Source organism: Homo sapiens, chromosome 8 (assembly GCF_000001405.40).
Source record: "Homo sapiens chromosome 8, GRCh38.p14 Primary Assembly".
NCBI classification, from domain to species: Eukaryota; Metazoa; Chordata; class Mammalia; order Primates; family Hominidae; genus Homo; species Homo sapiens.
Window position 1 is genome coordinate 140,671,205 of NC_000008.11, and position 21,121 is coordinate 140,692,325.

A 21,121-nucleotide genomic window follows, 5' to 3' on the forward strand; every position below is an offset into this window, starting at 1 on the left:
TACATAAAAGTAAATATTTTAGTATTAGTTTTTTTTAGGCAGAATCTCGCTCTGTCGCCCAGGCTGGAGTGCAGTAGTGTGATCTCAGCTCACCACAACCACCGCCTCCTGGATTCCAGCGATTCTTGTGCCTCAGCCCCCTGAGCAGCTGGAATTATAGGGTCACACTACTATGCACAGCTAATGTTTGTATTTTTAGTAGAGACAGGGTTTTGCCATGTTGGCCAGGCTGGTCTGGTACTCTTGGTCTCAAGCAATCCACTTGCCTTGGCCTCTCAGTGTTGGAATTACAGGCGTGAGCCACTGTGCCTAGCTGCATTGCAGTATTAGAACAATACTGTTCTTTTAGGATGGATTCAATGACCTCTACCAAGCAGACAATGAAGAAACAGAGGTGTATATTTCATGTTATTTAAAAATCTACTTAGGTCGGGTGCGGTGGCTCATGCCTGTAATCCCAGCACTTTGGGAGGCCGAGGCGGGCGGATCACAAGGTCAGGAGATCAAGACCATCCTGGCTAACACGGTGAAACCCCGTCTCTACTAAAAATACCCAAAAAAAAAAAAAAAAAAAAAAATTAGATGGGCCTGGTGGCGGGTGCCTGTAGTCCCAGCTACTTGGGATGATGAGGCAGGAGAATGGCGTGAACCCGGGAGGCGGAGCTTGCAGTGAGCCAAGATCGCACCACTGCACTCCAGCCTGGGCAACAGAGTGAGACTCTGTCTCAGGGGGGCGGGGGGCGGGAATCTTTACTTAATATATTTTAAGTACACATATTATTTTCAAGATTTCAATTTGCTTCATACCCTATCCTAATTGTATGTATTCATTATGTTATTCCAGCTGTGAAAGATGTTTCATAATGATGTCAGAATTCTAAGGTGGTACCGATCTACCTGTAAAGTTGGTTTTTCATTGTAATACAAGCCATTTTGAAAGTCTGTTCTTTTGGCTTATGAAAATAAATAATTCATTAATCTCATTCTGTCCCCTTTTCTTTTTTTAAAGAGATGGGGTCTCACTATGTTGCGCAGGCCAGATTCAAACTTCTGGGCTGAAGTGATCCTCCTTCCTCAGCCTCCCGAGTAGCTGGGACTATAGTCATAGAGGTGCGCCACCATGTCTGGCTCCTTTTTAGAAATTTATTGAAAGAAGCCAATATTGGGAAGGGTGTGTCCTTCCTCAATTTTCCTTGGAGAAGACTCAGTGTGTCTTTAACAGAACTGTCAGGAGGCATCCTGGGGCTTGGAGGCCTGGTGAACTGAGGAAGTTCCTGATTCCCAGGCACTTAAAAGCCACTGGCATGAACTCTGGGCACCAACCCTAAGGGCAGAGGCATCCCTAGCCCAGTTGGTACTTTCACTATGGCCACAGAGGGCAGGCTTGGCCACAGAGAGCAGGCTAGTTTGTGCCAGTGGCTGCCCATTCACCCTCTGGTCACCTCCTCAATGAACACTGGCAAACCTGTGCCCTCTAAGCTGCAGGCTATCCCTCTGGGCCTGGAGATGACATTTTTTCTTACCCTGGACTAACTTTCTGATGACTCTGAGAAGACAACAATGTATCTACATCTAACGAAGCTTCAGCTTTGGAGGCGAGTGCCTTTGAGTCAAGTATGTGCTCAGCCAAGCCTGCGGCCAAGCACAGCTCAGCTATGTGGAGGCTGTGTAACCTTGAACAAACTGCTTAATCTCTGTGAGCCTTGGTCAACTGAGAAATGATACCACCACCAGTCCTGTGAGGTTCACATGAGAACTGATAATACATGAAAAAGGACTGCCACAGAACTTGGTAAAGGGATGACAGTCAATAAATGGTGGTTATTGGTAAAGCAAAGTTTATCTTAACCTGATATGACATTTTTCGGATTTTAAGATGTCTTCCACTATAAGATGCATCCTTTTTTTTTTTTTTAACCTCGAGACGGAATCTTGCTCTGTCGCCCAGGCTGGAGTGCAATGGCATGATCTTGACTCATTGCAACCTCCACCTCCTGGGTTCAAGTGATTCTCCTGCCTCAGCCACCTGAGTAGCTGGGATTGCAGACATGCACCACCACGCCCAGCTAATTTCTTTGTATTTTTAGTAGAGACGGGGTTTCACCATGTTGGCCAGGCTGGTCTTGAACTCCTGACCTTGTGATCCGCCCGTCTTGGCCTCCCGAAATGCTGGGATTACAGGCATGAGCCACCACACCTAGCTCAAGATGCACCATTTTTTAATGAACCACTAAGAAAAAAAAATGCTGCCAATTAAACCAAAACACCATCCCAATTTTAGAGATATTAAAATGTGAATAAAAGGTATATGACAATTGAGAAATAGCGTCTATTTTGAGAGGTAATTTGTCATTTTAAGTGGAAAGTAAAAAGATCCCATCTCCTTACAGGACACAGGCTAGAAAAGAAGAGCCTCCTCCGTCAGATCTCTCAGGGAGGAGGGCTGCTGCTCTAGTGGCTCCAGCACTCGGTGAGGGCTGGTGGGGACCCAGGAGAGTCACAGGCGCCAACAGTTCCAGCTGGCACCCCTCGGGGCAGGCTGCACCTGACTTCTGACTGCCAAACTCAGAAGCTTGTGGTTGTTTGTGCCTGAGTCAAACACTCCCCTTGGTTTGAGGATGGCTCTACTCAGCATACATTGCTTTTACAAACCCAATTCTAACTTTAAATGGAAAATAAATAAGTCTTCCATGAAGCCACACTTATAAACTCCTACAAAAAGTCCTCACTTACCCCAAGCATCCTGGTTTAATTAATTTTTAAAACCAGAAACAATCTTGGCACTTTGTTCTAAAGAAAACATTCTGTCTGATCAGAGGAAGATGTATGTAGAAAATCAGAATCTGACTGAATTCCTAAAATCTATTACACTGAGAGGAAAATGGAAAAGAAAATGTTTGCATAAAGCTTTTCCCTGACTCTCAGAGGGGTTCAGAACCAGACCAATTGACTCCTGGGTCTCACTGCAGTTCCACTCTGCACTGTTCTATTTTCAGCACCAACTCCACTCTATGACATGAACACATCAACTGAGAACTAGGGGACACCACAAATCCTGCAAGCAGAAGGTGCTGCACAGGCTCAGATGCCCACCTTGACACCCTCGTTGTAGCTGTCAGCAGGGCTGCTGAGGCTGGCAAGGCTTCCCAGATGACCGGGAGCTCCAGGGCGAGGCGGTTTCTTTGGTGGAGCTGCAGGATCTGGTGAGAGAGAATGATTCCCATTAAGTCATGTGCGTTAAGAAAGATTAAGAGGCTGGGGGCAGTGGCTCATGCCTATAATCTCAGCACTTTGGGAGGCTGAAGCGGGCAGATCACCTGAGGTCAGGAATTCGAGATCAGCCTGACCAACATGGAGAAACCCCATCTCTACTAAAAATACAAAATTAGCCGGGTGTGGTGGCACATGCCTGTAATCCCAGCTACTCAGGAGGCTGAGGCAGGAGAATCGCTTGAACCCAGGAGGTGGAGGTTGCGGTGAGTTGAGATCGTGCCATTGCACTCTAGCCTAGGCAACAAGAACAAAACTCCGTCTCAAAAAAATAAAAAAAAGAGAAAGAAGGCTGAGCACAGTGGCTCACGCCTGTAATCCCTAGCACTTTGGGAGGCTGAGGCGGGCGGATGCCTGACCTCAGGAGTTCAAGACCAGCCTGGGCAACACGATGAAACCCCATCTCTAGTAAAATTAAAAAAAAAAAAGAAAAGAAAAGAAAAAAAAATTAGCCAGGCATGGTGGTGTGCACCATAGTCCCAGCTACTCGGGAGGCTGAGGCAGGAGAATTGCTTGAACCCGGGAGGTGGAGGTTGCAGTGAGCTCACACCACTACACTCCAGCCTGGGTGACAGAGTGAGACTCTGTATCCAAAAAAAAAAAAAGGAAAGAGAAAGAAACCACTGCTAAATAAATGCCTACTGCTGTTCTTACAAAAGACACTAATCTTGCATTCTAAGGAGGCATTTCTTTCTTTTTTTTTTTTTTTGAGACCGAGTGTTGCTCTGTCACCCAGGCTGGAGTGCAGTGGCGTGATCTCGGCTCACTGCAACCCTAAGGAGGTATTTCTGATGCATTATACCAACAAATTCTTTTTCCCAATACTCTAGTAATGAGCTGAATGTGGTAAACATCGTACTTGCTGTGGTCTGTAGAGGAAAAATTAACCATGAGGGTATTCCAAAGCTACGACACTATATACATTCAAAACCTGCTTTCATCAAATTAAACTAACTTCTTTCCGCCCAATTCTTTTCTTCTTTACCTGGTTTACCCACAGGCTGATATATATGTTGGTTTCCAATCTGTGGGAAAAGAAAAGTTCAGTCAATGCACTGGTATATACACTTGGGCAATGACCTCTCTCACCCACCCTGTCTATCCACCCCCTTGAACTTCTAGGCTAGATTCTAGTGTATCAAAATGAACAAAACAGGGTTCTGCATAAGGTCTCAGTTGGGGTGGGGGATCAGGCAAATAAGCAAATGATGCCAATAGCATGTGTGGAAAGGGCTGTGAGAGAAGCAAGCATGGGACACTCTGGAACCACAAACACAGTGGTCATAACCCATTTAAAATGTTCTTACACAGCTGAGGAGAATGTAAATTAGTACAACCTCTATGGAAAATGAACTAGAAAAACTCAAAATAGAACTACTTATCAAAGAACTCAAAATAGAACTACCATTCGATCCAGCAATCCCATGACTGCATATACGCCCAAAGGAAAACAAATCATTGTATCAAAAAGATACCTGCACTGCTATGTTTATCATGGCACTACTCCCAATATCCAAGATACAGAATCAACCTAAGTGTCCATCAATGAATGTCTGGATTAAAAAAATGTGGTATATGTATACAGTGGAATACTATTTAACCACAAAAAAGAATACAATTGGCTGGGCACAGTGGCTCATGCCTGTAATCCCAGCACTCTGGGAGGTCAAAATGGGCGATAACCTTAGGTCAGGAGTTCAAGACCAGCCTGGCCAACATGGCAAAACCCTGTCTCTACTAAAAACACAAAAATTAGCTGGGCGTGGTGGTACGTGGGTGTAATCCCAGTTACCTGGGAGGTTGAGGCAGGAGGACAGCTTGAACCCAGGAGGCAGAGGTTGCAGTGAGCCAAGATCGTGCTACTGCACTCCAGCCTGGGCAACAGAGCAAGACTCTGTCTCAAAAAAATTAATTAATTAATTAATTAATTAATTAATTAATATATATATTCCTGTCTTTTGCAGCAGTGGGGATGGATGCAGTAATGTGTAGGCCATTATCTTAGGTGAAACAACTTACAAACAGAAAATCAAATCCTGCATGTTCTCATAAGTTGGAGCTAAATAATGCGTATACACATACGTAAGAATGTGGAATAGTCACTGGGGACTTCGAAGAGTTGCCGCGGTCGGTGGGGGCGGGGGGAACAGCGTTAAGACATTACTTAATGGCGCCAGGTGCAGTGGCTCACGCCTGTAATCCCAGCACTTTGGGAGGCTGAGGCGGGTGGATCACAAGGTCAGGAGGTTGAGACCATCCTGGCTAACATGGTGAAACCCCGTCTCTACTTTAAAAAAAAAAAAAAAAAAAAAAAATAGCCAGGTGTGGTGGTGTGTGCCCGTAATCCCAGCTACTTGGGAGGCCTGAGGCGGGAGAATTGCTTGAACCTGGTGGGGGCGGAAATTGCAGTGAGCCGAGATCACGTCACTGCACTTCAGCCTGGGCAACAACAGAGGGAGACTCCATCTCAAAAAAAAAAAAAAAAAAAATGACTTAATGGGTATAATGTACACTATTTGTGTGATGGTTATACTAAAAGCCCAGACTTCACCACTATGCAATATATCCATGTAAAAAAACTGCACTTATACACCTTAAATTTATACAAATAAAAAAAATTTGAAATTTTCTTATATGGATGTCTCCAGTTGACCTCTAAAGGGTTTAAAATCCCAGGACTTCCCAGTGTCTGCATCCTCTCCTGCCTGGCCTCCCAACTATCCTTATCACAAAAACAGGTACAACCAGAAAAATGATGGAAAGGGGCTTGGTAGCACTGGGTGTGTAGATTCCCATGGGCCTACATTGTCATCACCCCCAAAGCACTGTGTGTGTCAGGACCTGTTGTTATACCTCCATCAGTTCTAGGCCAAGCCAGAGAAGCCAAACCACAGCCCAGAACTTCTGTCCCAGGTACAGGATAAAGTTTCACTTAACACCAGTTCTCCTTCAAGTTGTCATACCTGAAACTGCACTTAAAATAGTCTTTCTGAGGCTAACTACCTGGAAAAAAATCTTTTTGGAACTATTTTCTACTTTTGAAAAGAAAGACTTTTCTTGCTTACTTTAAAATAATGAACTGGCTAATAGATATAACCTAAGACACTTTACTTTCTATTGAAAAGAGATCCACTTCTTTACAATACAAGTGCTATAAAAAATAGCACACAAAATTAAAATTGTTCCTCCCTCACACAATCAAGTTGTTTTCAACATGTCATTTAACACCTCTGATTTTAAAGACTTGCAAAAAGTCTCAGAGCTTGAAGGTATGAAGAATGATACCATATCAACTTATTTTTGTGTAGTGCTTTCTACTTCATATATCACTATCATATCATTCATTTGTTCAATGAACAGTTATTGAACATCCGCTTTGTTCTAGCACTGTTCTAGGTATAAAACAAAGATCCTGCCTGGGGAGCAAACAGCTAACAATGCAGTGGAAGGAGACAGGTAATAAACAATGAACATGTATTAGTATATTCTGTGTTCTGTTAGGAGAAGCTGTGTCCCACAAAGAAAGGAGATGGCTGGGATAGAAGGAGAGGAACTACACGTTTTTTGGTATTGGTTGATTGATTAAGTGAGTGACTGAGTCTCACTCTGTCGCCCAGGCTGGAGTGTAGTGGCACAATCTTGGCTCACTGCAACCTCTGCAGCCCAGGTTCAAGTGATTCTCCTGCCTCAGCCTCCTGAGTAGCTGGGATTACAAACGCCCGCCACGATGCCTGGCTATGTTTTTGTATTTTTGGTAAAAACGGGGTTTCACCATGTTGGCCAGGCTGGTCTCAAACTCCCGACCTCAAGTGATCCACCCACCTGGGCCTCCCAAAGTGTTGGGATTACAGGCGTGAGCCACTGCGCCTGGCCCTTATTTTTATTTTTCTGAGACAGGGTATTACTCTGTCACCTGGGCTGCAGTGCTGTGGCATGATCTTTGTTCACTGTAGACTCGACTTCCTGGGCTCAAGTGATGCTCCTGCCTCAGCCTTTTGAGTAGCTGGGAGCTGGGACCACAGGTGCATGCCATCACACCTGGCTAGTTTTTATATTTCTTGTAGAGACAAGGTTTTGCCATATTACCCAGGCTGGTTTCAAGCTCTTGAGCTCAAGCGATCCACCCATCTTGGCCTCCCCAAGTGCTGGGATTACAGGTGTGAGCCACTACTCCAGACCAAAGCTGCAGTTTTAAGTAGGAAGGTCAGGCCTTCTAAGAAAGTGATCCCTGAAAGGGAAGCCTTGTAGCAACCCGGGAGAAGAGTAGCTTCGAGAGGGAGGAGTCCAGTAGGGCAAACCGAATGTGTGAGGAACAGCAAGGTGGTCAGGGCAGATAGAGAGGCGTGAGGGCAGGGAATGGTGGAAACGGGCCAATACTTTAACAACAGACAATGTCTACTGGCTGTGCTGTACTCACTGCTTCAGGCAATAAAATCCATGCCCTTTTTTTTTTAATTTAAAAAATTTTTAAATTTATGTGGTGCCTGTTTCCAGTCAGCCAGCTCACGGCCAGCTGAGTGCTCCCCATGTTTTTTTTTTTTTTTTTTTTTTTTTTTTTTTTTTTTTTTGAGACGGACTCTTGCTCTGTCGCCCAGGCTGGAGTGCAGTGGTGTGATCTTGGCTCACTGCAACCTCTGCCTCCCAGGTTCAAGTGATTCTCCTGCCTCAGCCTCCCAAGTAGCTGGGATTATAGGTGTGCACCACCACGCCTGGGTAATTTTTGTATTTTTAGTAGAGACAGGGTTTCACTATGTGGGCCAGGCTGGTCTTGAACTCCTGACCTCAGGTGATCTGCTCGCCTCGGCCTCCCAAAATACTGTGATTACAGGCGTGAGCCACCGCGCCTGGCCCCATGCTCATTTTAAAAGGTTTAAAAATACAAAGAACTTTCTGGTTGATACTCGGGTAACAAGAAAGTTTAATGAACTAGAAAATCCTATTCTCAGAACATCCTGGAGTAATCTAGCCAATGTGTGCTCACGTACAACCTGCTCGGGTACTCAGGTACAGAAAAGGAGAGACTCTGCTTCAGAAGTCTGACAGTATGAGTGTGTGGAGCTAGGCCTCGTGCATGGTTCTGTGCGGAACCAGCTGTTTACTTTGGAAAAGCTGCAGAGCTGTTAGGGGCTTTGGTTTTTCAATTTGTAAACTGAGGCTAATAACACTTACCTAATAAGACAACTGGGTTGTCATCACAAAATGAACATGCTGTCAACCTGTGTATTAAAGTCTAAATAAAAGTTTACCTTTTATGCACACTGATGGGATCAATTTTCCACTAGGCAGTTATTAATGTTTACTAACTAGTTCACATCCATTTATAATCTACACGGCTTTCTAGTCAAAGGGTTCTCCCTGAAGCCGTGGCACATTTCTAAAAGTGTTAAAGCTGGAGTGTTTCACAAAATGGGGCCAAAACCAAATTATCATCTTTAGGAAAGCACAAAAGGGAAAAAAATCAAATGGTCATAGCGTGTTAACAGTCCCCAGGAAGGCAGTGAAGTCTGTTGAGCAAGGCTGGCTACCGGTGCATAAATGGGGGCACTTAGGCAAGTTTTCTCTGAGTCCTGGTCTACTCATTTGTGAAATGTGGATGACGACAGTACCCGATGTGTCAAGAGTGATGCGACACAGTACCTTGTAGTACTAAGCCAGGACCTCAGTTAGCACTAAGCACTCTTACTATTGCCTCCACCTGGCACAAAGCAAACTGAGATCTTAGTTGGGCCCATCATGTGTCATCTGATTGTCTTAGAAGTTCTTTTTTTCTAAGACAGAGTTTTGCTCTTTTGGCTCAGGCTGGAGTCCAATGGCACAATCTCGGCTTACTGCAACCTCCGCCTCCCAGGTTCAAGCGATTCTCCTGCCTCAGCCTTCTGAGTAGCTGGGATTACAGGTACCCGCTACCACGCCCGGCTAACTTTTTTGTATTTTTAGTAGAGACGGGGTTTTACCATGTTGGCCAGGCTGGTCTCGAACTCCTGACCTCAGGTGATCCACCGCTCCTGGCCACAAGTTCTTATTAATAAAGCAGTTCTGCATAATCCTTCTATCCAGGTTTGATTAACAAATTTACATTTTTTTCTGAGTACCTTCTGTGGGCCACACACTGGAACACAAAGAATTTTCCTTATCTAACAAATTTCCTATTAGCAACGTTCTAAATAGCTAGTATCTTGAATAGGACTTATTTTCACACCGATTCTCACTCCTTCTTAACAATTTAGGACCAACTGCTTTTTATGCATTTGTCTCTTCAATACAAGGAAGGAGCTCAGTGTATGGGAATGTTAAATGGCTGATAATGCAACCTTCTTGCTCGTGAACTAAAGAATGTCAGCCACTGTGCCCGACTGGGTGCTATTTTATATAGAAAAAATGTTTGCAAGATTTTAAGGTAAGTGTTGACAGTTGCATACACACCTGTGACTAGAAGTCAACTCAGTAGTTTCACCCTTATTAGGGTAAAACTTTAACTCCGTAAGTCTGCTACCTGACAGGCACAGCAAATGTTTAAGGAAATCTGCATTTAACTTAAACAGACATCTGCTGATGGAAATTTGGCGTTGGTTTGCTCAAATTAGTAAGATTAAGAAGATCTTAAATTCAGCTGGGCGCGGTTGCTCACGCCTGTAATCCCAGCACTTTGGGAGGCCAAGGCGAGTGGATCACTGGAGGTCAGGAGTTCAAGACGAGCCTGGCCAACATGGTGAAACCCCGTCTCTACTAAAAATACAAAAATTAGGCAGGTGGCTGTAATCCCAGCTACTTGGGAGGCTGAGGCAGGAGAATCTCTTGAGCCCGGTAAGCAGAAGATGCAGTGAGCCGAGATCCTGCCACTGCACTCCAGCCTAGGTGACAGCGCGAGACTCCGTCTCAAAAAAAAAAAAAAGATCTCAAATTACTCAAATTAATAACCTAACATCACGCCCTGAGGAACTGGAAAAACAAGAGCCAACCAACCCCAAACTGGCTGCTTCCTTATGTTGAAGAAACTAATGTGTAACAAGCAGTTGGCCGGGCGCGGTGGCTCACGCCTGGAATCCCAGCACTTTGGGAGGCGGAGGCGGGCAGGGGGGGATCACGAAGTCAGGAGATCGAGACCATCCCGGCTAACACAGTGAAACACCGTCTCTACTAAAAATACAAAAAATTAGCCGGGCGTGGTGGCGGGCGCCTGTAGTCGCAGCTACTCGGGAGGCTGAGGCAGGAGAATGGTGTGAACCCGGGAGGTGGAGCTTGCCGTGAGCCGAGATCGCGCCACTGCACTCCAGCCTGGGCCACAGAGCGAGACTCCGTCTCAAAAAAAAGCAGTTGGTCCTAAAACGTTAGGAAGGACTGGGAATTGGTGTGAAAATAAGTCCTATTTCTAGCAGGCTTTAACCTATTTATGCTGGAGGTTGCAAATTTTTTGGTGTGGAAAAATCAGACACTGGCGATGACCTTAAGCAGTAGGATATAAATAACTCTCACAAGCTTAGCGTTCCAATAATGGAACACTAGGCATAAATAGGTTAAATATAATTGGAATAATCATAAGCTAGTTCTTTAAAGAGAATTTCAGGCATTCTCCCCCTGCTACATCCAGAAGAAAAAAATATTGCTTGAACAAATTTTCTGTGATTCTGGAGACTTTTACAACCATGTAGTAAGAGCATAAAAATTTAGCAAATGGGCCAGGTGGATCACTTGAAGTCAGGAGTTTGAGACCAGCCTGGCCAACATTGTGAAACCCTGTCTTTACTAAAAATTCAAAAATTAGATGGACGTGGTGGCACGTGCCTGTAGTCCTAGCTACTCAGGAGGCTGAGGCACAAGAATCGCTTGAAACTGGGAGGCGGAGGTTATCACGCCACTGTACTCCAGCTCTGGGTGACAGAGCAAGACCCTGTCTCAAAACAAAAACGAAAACAACAACAACAAAAAATTTAGCAAATGACAGCGTGTGTTAACAACGGCTAATATGTGTATATATTTCTTCACTTGATCTTAGCCAAAAGGCTGAGAAGTGATGTACATATTTCTTTAGGTCACAAAGAGTTTGGCTTATTACTAAAAGGCCTTTATTAAACAACAGAATATAAATGCTTCTCATCTGCACATGGTACATACTCTAAAATAAACCACACAATTGGCTATAAAACAATTCTATAGCTAATTAAAAAAAAAAAAAAACCGAAATCACACCAACCACACTCTAGGACCACAGCACAATAAAAACAGAATCAGTACTAAGAAGATTGTTCAAAACCATATGATTACGTGGAAATTAACCTGCTCCTGAATGACTTCTGGGTAAGGCAGAAATCAAGAAATTCTTTGAAACTAATAAGTACAAAGATACAACACACTAGAATCTCTTGAACACAGCTAAGGCAGTGTTAAGAAGAAAGTTTATAGTGCTAAACATCTACAACAAAAAGTTAAAAAGATCTCAAATTAATAACCTGACATCACACCTTGAGTAACTAGAAAAACAAGAGCAAATCAACCCCAAAGCTAACAGAAAACAAGAGATACCCAAAATCAGAGCTGAACTAAATGGAACTGAGACATGAAAAACCATGCAAAAGATAAATGAAACCAGAAATTGGTTATTTGAAAGAATACATAAGAATGACTGATCACTAGCTAGACTAATTAAAAAAAGAGAGAAGATCGAAAAAAATACAATCAGCAACGACAAAGGGGACATTACCACCAACCCCACAGAAAAATACATAGAACTATCATAGAACATTATGAACAACTCTATGCACATGAACTAGAAAATCTAGAAGATATGGATGAATTCCTGGACACATACACATTCCCAAGACTGAGCCAGGAAGAAAGCGAATCCCTGAACAGACCAATAATGAGCTCTGAAATTGAATCAGTAATAGATAGCCTATCAACCACCAAAAGCCCAGGACCAGATGGCTTCACAGTTGAATTTTAACAGATGTACAAAGATGAGCTGGTAGCACTCTTACTAAAACCACTCCAAAAAATTGAGGAGGAGGTACTCCTCTCTAACTCATTCTATGAGGCCAGAATCATTCTGAGTCCCAAACCTGGCAGAAACAACAAAAAAAGAAAACTTCAGGCCAATATCCCTGATGAACATAGATACAAAATTCCTCAACATAATACTGGCAAAACGAATCCAGCAGCAGCACAACAAAAAGCTAATCCACCACAAACAAGTAGGCTTCACCCCTGGGATGCAAGGTTGGTTCAACATATGAAAATCAATTAAATGTGATTCATCACATAAACAGAACTAAAAAAAACTACAGGATTATCTCAATAGATGAAAAAAAAAAAAGCTTCCAATAAAATTCAACCTCACTTCATGTTAAAAACCCTCAAAAAACTAGGTAATGAAGGAACATAACTCAAAATAATAAGAGCCATCTATGACAAACCCACAGCCAATATCATATTGAATGAATGGGCAAAGGCTGGAAGCACTCCCCTGAAGAACTGAAACAAGACCAGGATGCCCACTCTTACCATATCTATTCAACATTAGTGCTGGAAGTCCTAGGCAGAGCAATCAGGCAAAACAAAGAAATAAAAGGCATCCAAATAGGAAGAGAAGAGATCAAACTTCTGTGTTTGTAGATGATGTGATTTTATACACAGAAAACGCCATAGTCTTGGCCCAAAAGCTCCTAGATCTGATAAACGAGCAGTCCCCAATCATTTTGGCACCAGGGACAGGTTTCGTGGAAGACAATTTTTCCACGGACTCAGGGGATGGGGTGGGGGATGGTTTTGGGATGAAACTGTCCCATCTCAGATCATCAGGCATTAGAGTCTCATAAGGAGTGTGCAATCTAGATCTCTCACATGCGCAGTTCACAATAGGGTTCACATGCCTACGAGAATCTAATGCTGCCACTGATCTGACAGGAGGAAGAGCTCAGGCATTAATGCGGGCTAGCCCGCCATTCACCTCCTGCTGTGTGGCCCAGTTCCTAACAGACTATGGACCAATACCAGTCTGCGGCCCAGGAAGATGGGGACTCCTGTGATAAACAACTTCAGCAAAGTTTCAGGGTACAAAATCAATGTACAAAAATCAGTAGCATTTCTCTACACCAACAACATCCAGTTGAGTGCCGAATCAAGAATGCAATCCCATTTACAACAGCCACACACACAAAATACCCAGGAATATAGCTAACCAGGGAGGTGAAAGATCTCTACAATAAGAATTACAAAACACTGCTGAAAGAAATCAGAGATGACACGAACAAATGGAAAAACATTCCATGCTCATGGATAGGAAGAACTGATATTGTTATAATGGTCATACCGCCCAAAGTATGGTCGTACCGCCCAATGGTCATACCGCCCAAAGCTTTACAGATTCAATGTTGTACCTATCAAACTACCAATAACATGCTTTACAGAATTAGAAAAAGCTATTCTAAAATTCATATGGAACCAAAAAAGAGCCTGAATAGTCAAAGCAATCCTAAGCAAAAAGAACAAAGCTGAGGACTTTACATTACATGACTTCAAACTATACTACAAGGCTATAGTAACCAAAACATCATGGTACTGGTACAAAAACAGACACACAGACCAATAGAACAGAATACAGAGCCTAGAAATAAAACTTCATACCTACAACCATCTCATCTTTGACAATGTTGGCAAAAACAAGCAATGGGGAAAGGACTCCCTATTCAATAAATGGTGCTGAGACAACCAGCTAGCCATACGCCAAAGAATAAAACTGGGACCCTTCCTTACACCATATACAAAAATCAACTCAAGACGGATTAAAGACGTAAATGTAAAACCTAGAACTATAAAAACCCTTGAAGAAAACCCAGGAAATACTATTCTGGACATAGGCCCTTGCAAAGATTTCATGACGAGGACACCAAAAGCAACTGCAACAAACACAAAATTACAAATGGGACCTAATTAAACTAAAGAGCTTCTTTACAGCAAAAGGAACTAAGAGCAGAATAAACAACTCACAGAATGGGAGAAAATATTTGCAAACTGTGCATCTGACAAAGGTCTAATATCCAGCATCTATAAGGAACTTAAAGCAAATGAACAAGTAAAACCAAACAGCCCCATTAAAAAGTGGGCAAAGGACATGAACAGACACTTTTCAAAAGATGACATAAACATGGCCAACAAGCATATGAAAAAATGCCCAATATCACTAATCATTAGAGAAAAGCAAATCAAAACCACAATGAGATGCCATCTCACACCAGTCAGAATGTCTATTATTAAAAAGTCAAAAAATTAACAGATGCAAGGTTGTGGAGAAATAGAACACTTAAGACACTGCTGGTGGGAATGTAAATTACTTCGGTCACTGTGGAAAGCAATTTGGCGATGTCTCAGAACTTAAAACAGAAGTAGCATTTGACCCAGCAATCCCCTTATTGGGTACACACCCAAAGGAATATAAATCTTTCTACCATAAAGACACATGCATGCTTATATTCATCACAGCACTGTTCACAATAACAAGGTCATGGAATCAACCTCAATACCCATCAATGATAGACTGGATAAAGAAAATGTGGTATGTATACACTATGGAATACTATGTAGCCACAAAAAGAATGAGATCATTTCCTCTGCAGCAACATGGGTGGAGCTAGAGGTCATTATCATTATCTTAAGTGAACTAATGCAGGAACAGAAAACCAATACCACATGTTCTCACTTATAAAGGGGAGCTAAACACTCAGTACACACGGACACAATGAAGGGAACAACAGACTCCGGGGCCCACTTGAGGGTGGAGGGTGGGAGGAGGGTGAGAGGAGGGTGAGGATCAAAACACTACCTATCAGGTATTATGCTTATCACCTGGGTGCCAAATGACCTGTATAACAAACCCTTGCAACATGCGATTTCCTTATATAACACATCTGTACATGTACCCCTGAAACTAAAATAAAAGTTAAAAAAAAAAGCCTTTATCAATAATAGTGCAGAAAACTTCTGTATCTGAATAAAAATTCTAGGCTGTACATCATAGATTTTCATAATCTTAAAATGTTAACTTTATAGAATATTCTGTTCCCTATTACAAATATTAGTAAACTTGGATATATTGTGACATAAACACTGATGGTCCACGCACAGGAGAACTGGAAATCAAATCCTGCTGAAAACTCAGGCTTACCGGACCCTGAAGACTTCCATCCTCCCTGTCAATACTGCCTCGAGAGAGTCTCACATCAGGTTTCTGAAGAAATTAAAACAAAATCAAAACAATTTCATTTTTGATTTGAAAATTTTTGACAGATTCTGTATTAAATTCCTTCCTTTTTAACACAATTGTCCTCTGAATAAGAAGAGTTGAAAGTTCCCCCGTTTCAAAAAAATTCCAGTGATGATAAATGAAGGTTGGCTGCCTTGGGAAGAACTGCATTCCTCTCCACACACGCACACCTTACAGACTGGTACCTGCACTGGCCCACCCAGTGCTGGAGAACCTGCACTTTACCTCTATTCCAAGTAGCACAGATGGCTTTCTTCTTCACTGAGATACCCGCAACCCCAGGATAAAAATATCAGGCATTACTTGCGGCTTTCTGACAGAATATGGCTTATACGGATTTAGCTGTCTTGCCAAAGTAGCAAATGAGTTCAATTACAAGACTGTTTTCCCACACTGCATCTAGAATATAGAAACCAAACAGAGAAATCTAGATTTTACGTAAATAATAGTACGGAAATTTCACCAATATCAGAATAAACGAAGTAGGCTACGTGCCTTTATGGTGAAGGAACAGGGCAGAAAGGCTTTTCCTCATGAAAACAACCCCGTGCTCCCGCAGTATGGGTTACGGGCCTTCTACCACAGTGGCTCCTGCCTCCCCTTTGCCCGTGAACACTGGCCACATACTTCTTCCCGGAAAACTTCTGTTCACTCTTCAAGGCTGAGCCAGACACCCTTTCTTGGCAGCATATTTCCCTCTTCAAGCAGAGCTGGTCGCTTCTTAGCCTGTGCCTTACAGATACCTCTATGTTGGCACCTATCAGGCATAATTACTTCCCTCATTAGAGATGGAGCATCTTGATGTCTGATTCGTCTGTGTATCTCCTATTTCCCACACCTGAGCCTGCCACTGAGCACACCATCTGCAAGCACTTGTTGGGTGGGGGATGGAGAAATGAGCTTCACCTCTCCCTTCTTTTCCAATTCCAATTCCAGTGCTGTAGCCCAAACCCTTTTCATTGTATCAGTTCCTACTAGGCTTTTTGTCTCTGTCTTAACTATCTCTAATCAAAGCGGGGTCAGTCGTGGGTGCCAGGGTGTAGTAGGAAGTTGGTGAAGGACACGGCCACCATTAAGGTAAGAGTGATCCTCTGATGGCTCAGAGGTAAAAACAAACTTTCCAGGGCAGGGGCCCTGCACTGTCCTTTGCCTTCTTCCTCCCTTCCCCCTTTCCTTCCCTCCCAGGCACAGTGCCTGGAGGTAGCTGGCTGAGGTCTGAGAACAGCTCCTACCAGGAAGTGGGTAAAGGAGCTCCTGATGGCTAATCACTAAAAGGGGGCTCTGGCTGATTGTTGTTAACAGTCCTCAGGGATTCCATATGGGAAAAGGTGAAACTTGTGTGTTGTCCCTGAATTTAGGGCAGATTTTGGATCACTTATGGAAAAACATTCTAATAATCAGAGGCATCCTGAAACAGAATAGACAGCCCTGACAGCAGTAGCAGACAGTAAGCAAAGAGGGCAAAAGTCACAACTTACTTATCTGTTCATTCAACAGAATTACAAAACAGCTCATGTATATCAGCCCCATATCCCTAGTGCCTGGCACAGTTCCTGGTTGGTGCGCACTCAACACATCAGTGTTGACTGAATTAACCTCCATGCTACTATATAAAAAAACATGTTCCCTTTCACGTAAAAATATTCATTTAAAAGCAATAGTTAAATATAGATGAAAAATGACCTAAATCCTCAAATGTAGCGTTGGGTGTGGTGGTGTGTGCCTGCAATTTCACCTTATCTGGGAGGCTGAGGTGGGAGGACCCTTTGAGGCCAGGATATCAAGACCAGCCTGGGCAACATAGTGAGAACTCATCTCTACAAAGAAAAAAATTTTAACAATTAGCTGGGAATGGTGGTGTGTGCCTGAGTCCCAGCTACTGGAGAGGCTGAGGTGGGGCGATGGTTTGAGCCCAGGAGTTTGAGGCTGTAGTGAGCTACCATTGTACCACTGCACTACAGCCTGGGTGACTAAGCAAGACTCTGCTCTGTTAGAACTCTCTCAATGAGTAAACCAGAAAAGTTCAGAATAAATATTTCTGAACTCTGAAGAGCATAACTTAAAACATTGTACTGTGTTTATATGTACTATAATATCAAGGAACAATAATTTAAAAAATGAATTCTTACTGCAGATGTGATATATATAACTAATGCCCATACAGGGGAAGTCAAACCTAGAGGCATGCAGTTGGCGACTATGGCAGAAAGTATGCTGTGTTTTTTACCAGAGAGGACTATCCCATTAGATATAGACAGCTGTGGCTGGGTGTGAAATATAGCTCAAGAGAAAATTCAGAGGTAGGTAGTTCCTGACTTCTAGGATAGAATCTTCTCTGACAGGTAAGATAGACATGAATAGACAGAAAGGAAACCAAGCAAACACACGTAATACATTGATTCCAACTGGCAACTGAAGGGGAACTCACTGGGGAGGTCCTATTCCATGTAGCAGAACTCACAGATCCTATTCCATGGAATGCTGAGGTTCTGCCACTGCCTGAATGAAGAGGCAGCTTTGTGGGGCCCAAACATCCCAGATATGCTTAAGAAAAAATATTCCAAAACACAATGGACTTTGAGAAAAAGTACCTGAGAAGACGAGACTCCAGGTTGACAATTCACAGAACATTACTCAATGTAAATATCAAGGTCAGGAAAGATTTCGGGAAGACCCAGGAACTGTTCAAGCTTAAAGGAAACTCAAGAGATGTGATAACTAAATATAACTCATGATCCAGGACTTTTTTCTAGAAAGGGCATTCTGTGGACAACTGGTAAAATATGAATAGTCCATTGATTAGCTAACAGTATTGTATTATTGTTAATTTCCTGACATTGGTTAACTCAGCTATGGTTATTTAAGAGAACATCCTTATTTTTAGGAAATTCACATTGAACTATTTAAGAGTTAAAAAGCAGGATATCTGGTATTTACTTCCAAATGGTTCAGAAAAAATGGTATGTACAAATATGCAAAGCAAATGAGGTCAAATGTTAACAACTGGAGACTCTAGGTAAAGGGAACATGGGAATTCTTTGTACCATTCTTGTAACTTTAAAAAACTCTGAAACTATCCTTTCCTCTTCTGCCCATTCACTTGAGGGACCAGCTGGGAGCTGGTTCTGCTTAGGGGTTCTGTTGAAGGGCTCTAAACAGAGAGTGGAGGTGATTAGGTTTGACTCTACTGTAGCAGAAAGGACAAGTTTTTATTTTCATTTTTTATTTATTTATTTTTTTGAGATGGAGTCTCCCTCTGTCTCCCAGGCTGGAGTGCAGTGGCATGACCTCAGCTCACTGCAAGCTCTGCCTCCCGGGTTCATGCCATTCTCCTGCCTCAGCCTTCTGAGTAGCTGGGACTACAGGCGTCCGCCACCACGCCCGGCTAATTTTTTGTATTTTCAGTAGAGATGGGGTTTCACTGGGTTAGCCAGGATGGTCTCGATCACCTGACCTCATGATCTGCCCGCCTCGGCCTCCCAAAGTGCTGGGATTACAGGCGTGAGCCACCGCGCCAGGCCAACAGTTTCTATTTTTAAGAGACAGGGTCTTGATCTGCCGCCCAGGTCAGAGTGCAGCGACTATTCACAGGCACAATCATAGTGCATTACAGCCTCGAACTCCTGGCCTCAAGCAATCATCCGCCTCAGTTTCTGGAGTAGCTGGGACTATACATGCACGCCACCACGCCCAGTTAGAGCTATAGTCTAAGAAAACAAAAGACCCACCAGGCCCAACTTACGATGTGGTCATTTAATAGTTACATGATTTTGGTTATTTTAAAATATTGTATACCTCATTTGTCAATAATCTAACAAAAGAAACATGCACTTACTGTAGAAAAATTAAGATACTGCAAAAATAGATGAAAAAATTACAAATCACTCAACCTTACCATTTGGAAGTAATTATCATTAGTTATTATGGAGTAATTAAAATGTAAAAGTAATTATCATTAGTTAATACTGTGGTGTAAATGTATGTTTACAAACATGGAACCACAACATATGATTCTACAGCCTTCACATAACATTTATATAGGGCAAACTGACAAAACAATGTTTAAGGCTGCACAACGTTCCACTGCATGATTATCATCATAAAATAGACAATGGTAGTGAAGGGTGGGAGCTGTGGCACCAGGTGGCCTGGGTTCTAATGAGGATCCAGTCCTTACAAGCTGTGTGACCTGGGCCTCAATTTCTTCATTTCTAAAATGGAACAGTAATTGTAACCAACACATAGGATTGTTAGGAGGATGAAATGAGTTAATATTTGCAAAGTACTAAGTTGGTGCCACACAAGAGTTAAAATAAATAGTTCTTTTATTGTTGGATATTAGGGTCATTTTCAAAATCCCTCATAAATAGGCTGTAGATGAACACCTTTGTATACAAATCTTTGACTAAGTCCCTGATTATTTCCCTGGGACAGATTTCTTTTCTTCTTCTTTTAGAGATGGTTGGGGGTGGGGGGTCTCACTATGTTATCCAGGCTGGTCTTAAACTCCTGTGCTCAAGTGATCTTCCTGTCTCTGGAGCAGATTTCTAAGAAAGGAATTACTAAGTCAAAGAGTTTGAACATTTGAAAAATCTTGGTATAAGTTTCCAAACTGCTCAAGGCTGTCCTGATTTTCATCTATGTAGCAATATGTGATAGCATTTCTCTCACTGTACCCTAACACCACTGTATTATCATTTTAAAACTCTCAACCAATTCATAAAGAAAATACTGTATAATATATTGTTGTAATTTGCTCCTCTCCTCCTCCCTTTCCCCAAATAGTTGACCATTTTTGTTTCTTATCATGAGATGCTAAGTTCCATGAAGACAGAGGCTATGAAGCTGTCTGCCTCACCGCTGCGTCTCTGTTACCTGCTAGAACACCGGACAAACAGGTGGAGGAAATGAATGCCCTGTGCATTTTTCTAGTGAACTGATTGTCCATGCCTCTTTGGACAAGGCATATAACCTCTCTAGGCCCAGTTCCTCACCTGTAAAATAGGCAGAATAATACCTCAGTCAGTCATTATCAGAATGAAAGAAGTGCCTGGCAGCATTGTGCACATAGATGTGTAGTAAATATTTGCTGAAGGAATGCTTCAATTAATATCCAAGGCACAAGAGATATGTTATAGACGAGGAACTTGACTTAGAAAGATTTAGTTGCTTGGGGTAACACAGCTCTTAAACAGTGGAGGTGGGCTTCAATCAGTCAACAGATAATAAGAACCTTCTACAGGCAGGAAATATTTACTGTTTTACTTAAACAAAAAATGCAACTCATATTTTTGCCTATAGAATAAGGTATTGTTTCATGTGTTTACATGAATTAATCTATTTTTATTTCCATATACATTTCATGAAATGACTTTCTTTAATGCATAATTCCCTAATGTGGTATTTTCCTAAAGACAGGATTTTAATTTTAAAATGAGAAAGGCTTATCCATATAAAATCTACTTGTGTTCTGTGAATGAAATAAATACTTGAGCTTTTTCTTTTCATAGAGCATACACGGACCTCCTGAATGAAAGATGAGTGCCTATTGGGAACTGAAGAGCAATACAGCCAAAGACAGCCAATCAGAAAGAA

The 21,121-nt window shown here is 42.5% G+C and overlaps 1 protein-coding gene and 1 pseudogene across 176 annotated transcripts in view; both read right to left on the reverse strand.

Moving 5' to 3' along the window:
- Nucleotides 1–21,121, reverse strand: part of PTK2 (protein tyrosine kinase 2) — a 344,180-nt gene that overhangs the window by 13,305 nt on the left and 309,754 nt on the right. For 142 of the 176 annotated variants that reach the window (NR_148039.2, NR_148038.2, NR_148036.2 and 139 more), the window contains 3 exons: nucleotides 15,428–15,490; nucleotides 4,256–4,295; nucleotides 3,094–3,200 (listed from right to left, as the gene is read on the reverse strand). Coding sequence is in view for 169 of the 176 variants with exons in the window: in NM_001352699.2 (NP_001339628.1) it covers nucleotides 3,094–3,200; nucleotides 4,256–4,295; nucleotides 15,428–15,490 (210 nt within the window). In the remaining 7 variants the exon portion in view is untranslated. Of the gene's footprint in view, nucleotides 1–3,093; nucleotides 3,201–3,409; nucleotides 3,508–4,225; nucleotides 4,296–15,427; nucleotides 15,491–21,121 lie in introns of all 176 variants that reach the window. The other 34 variants (NM_001352734.2, NM_001352729.2, NM_001352727.2 and 31 more) reach the window with 3 other exon arrangements.
- LOC124902099 (uncharacterized) lies at nucleotides 11,124–11,283 on the reverse strand (annotated as a pseudogene).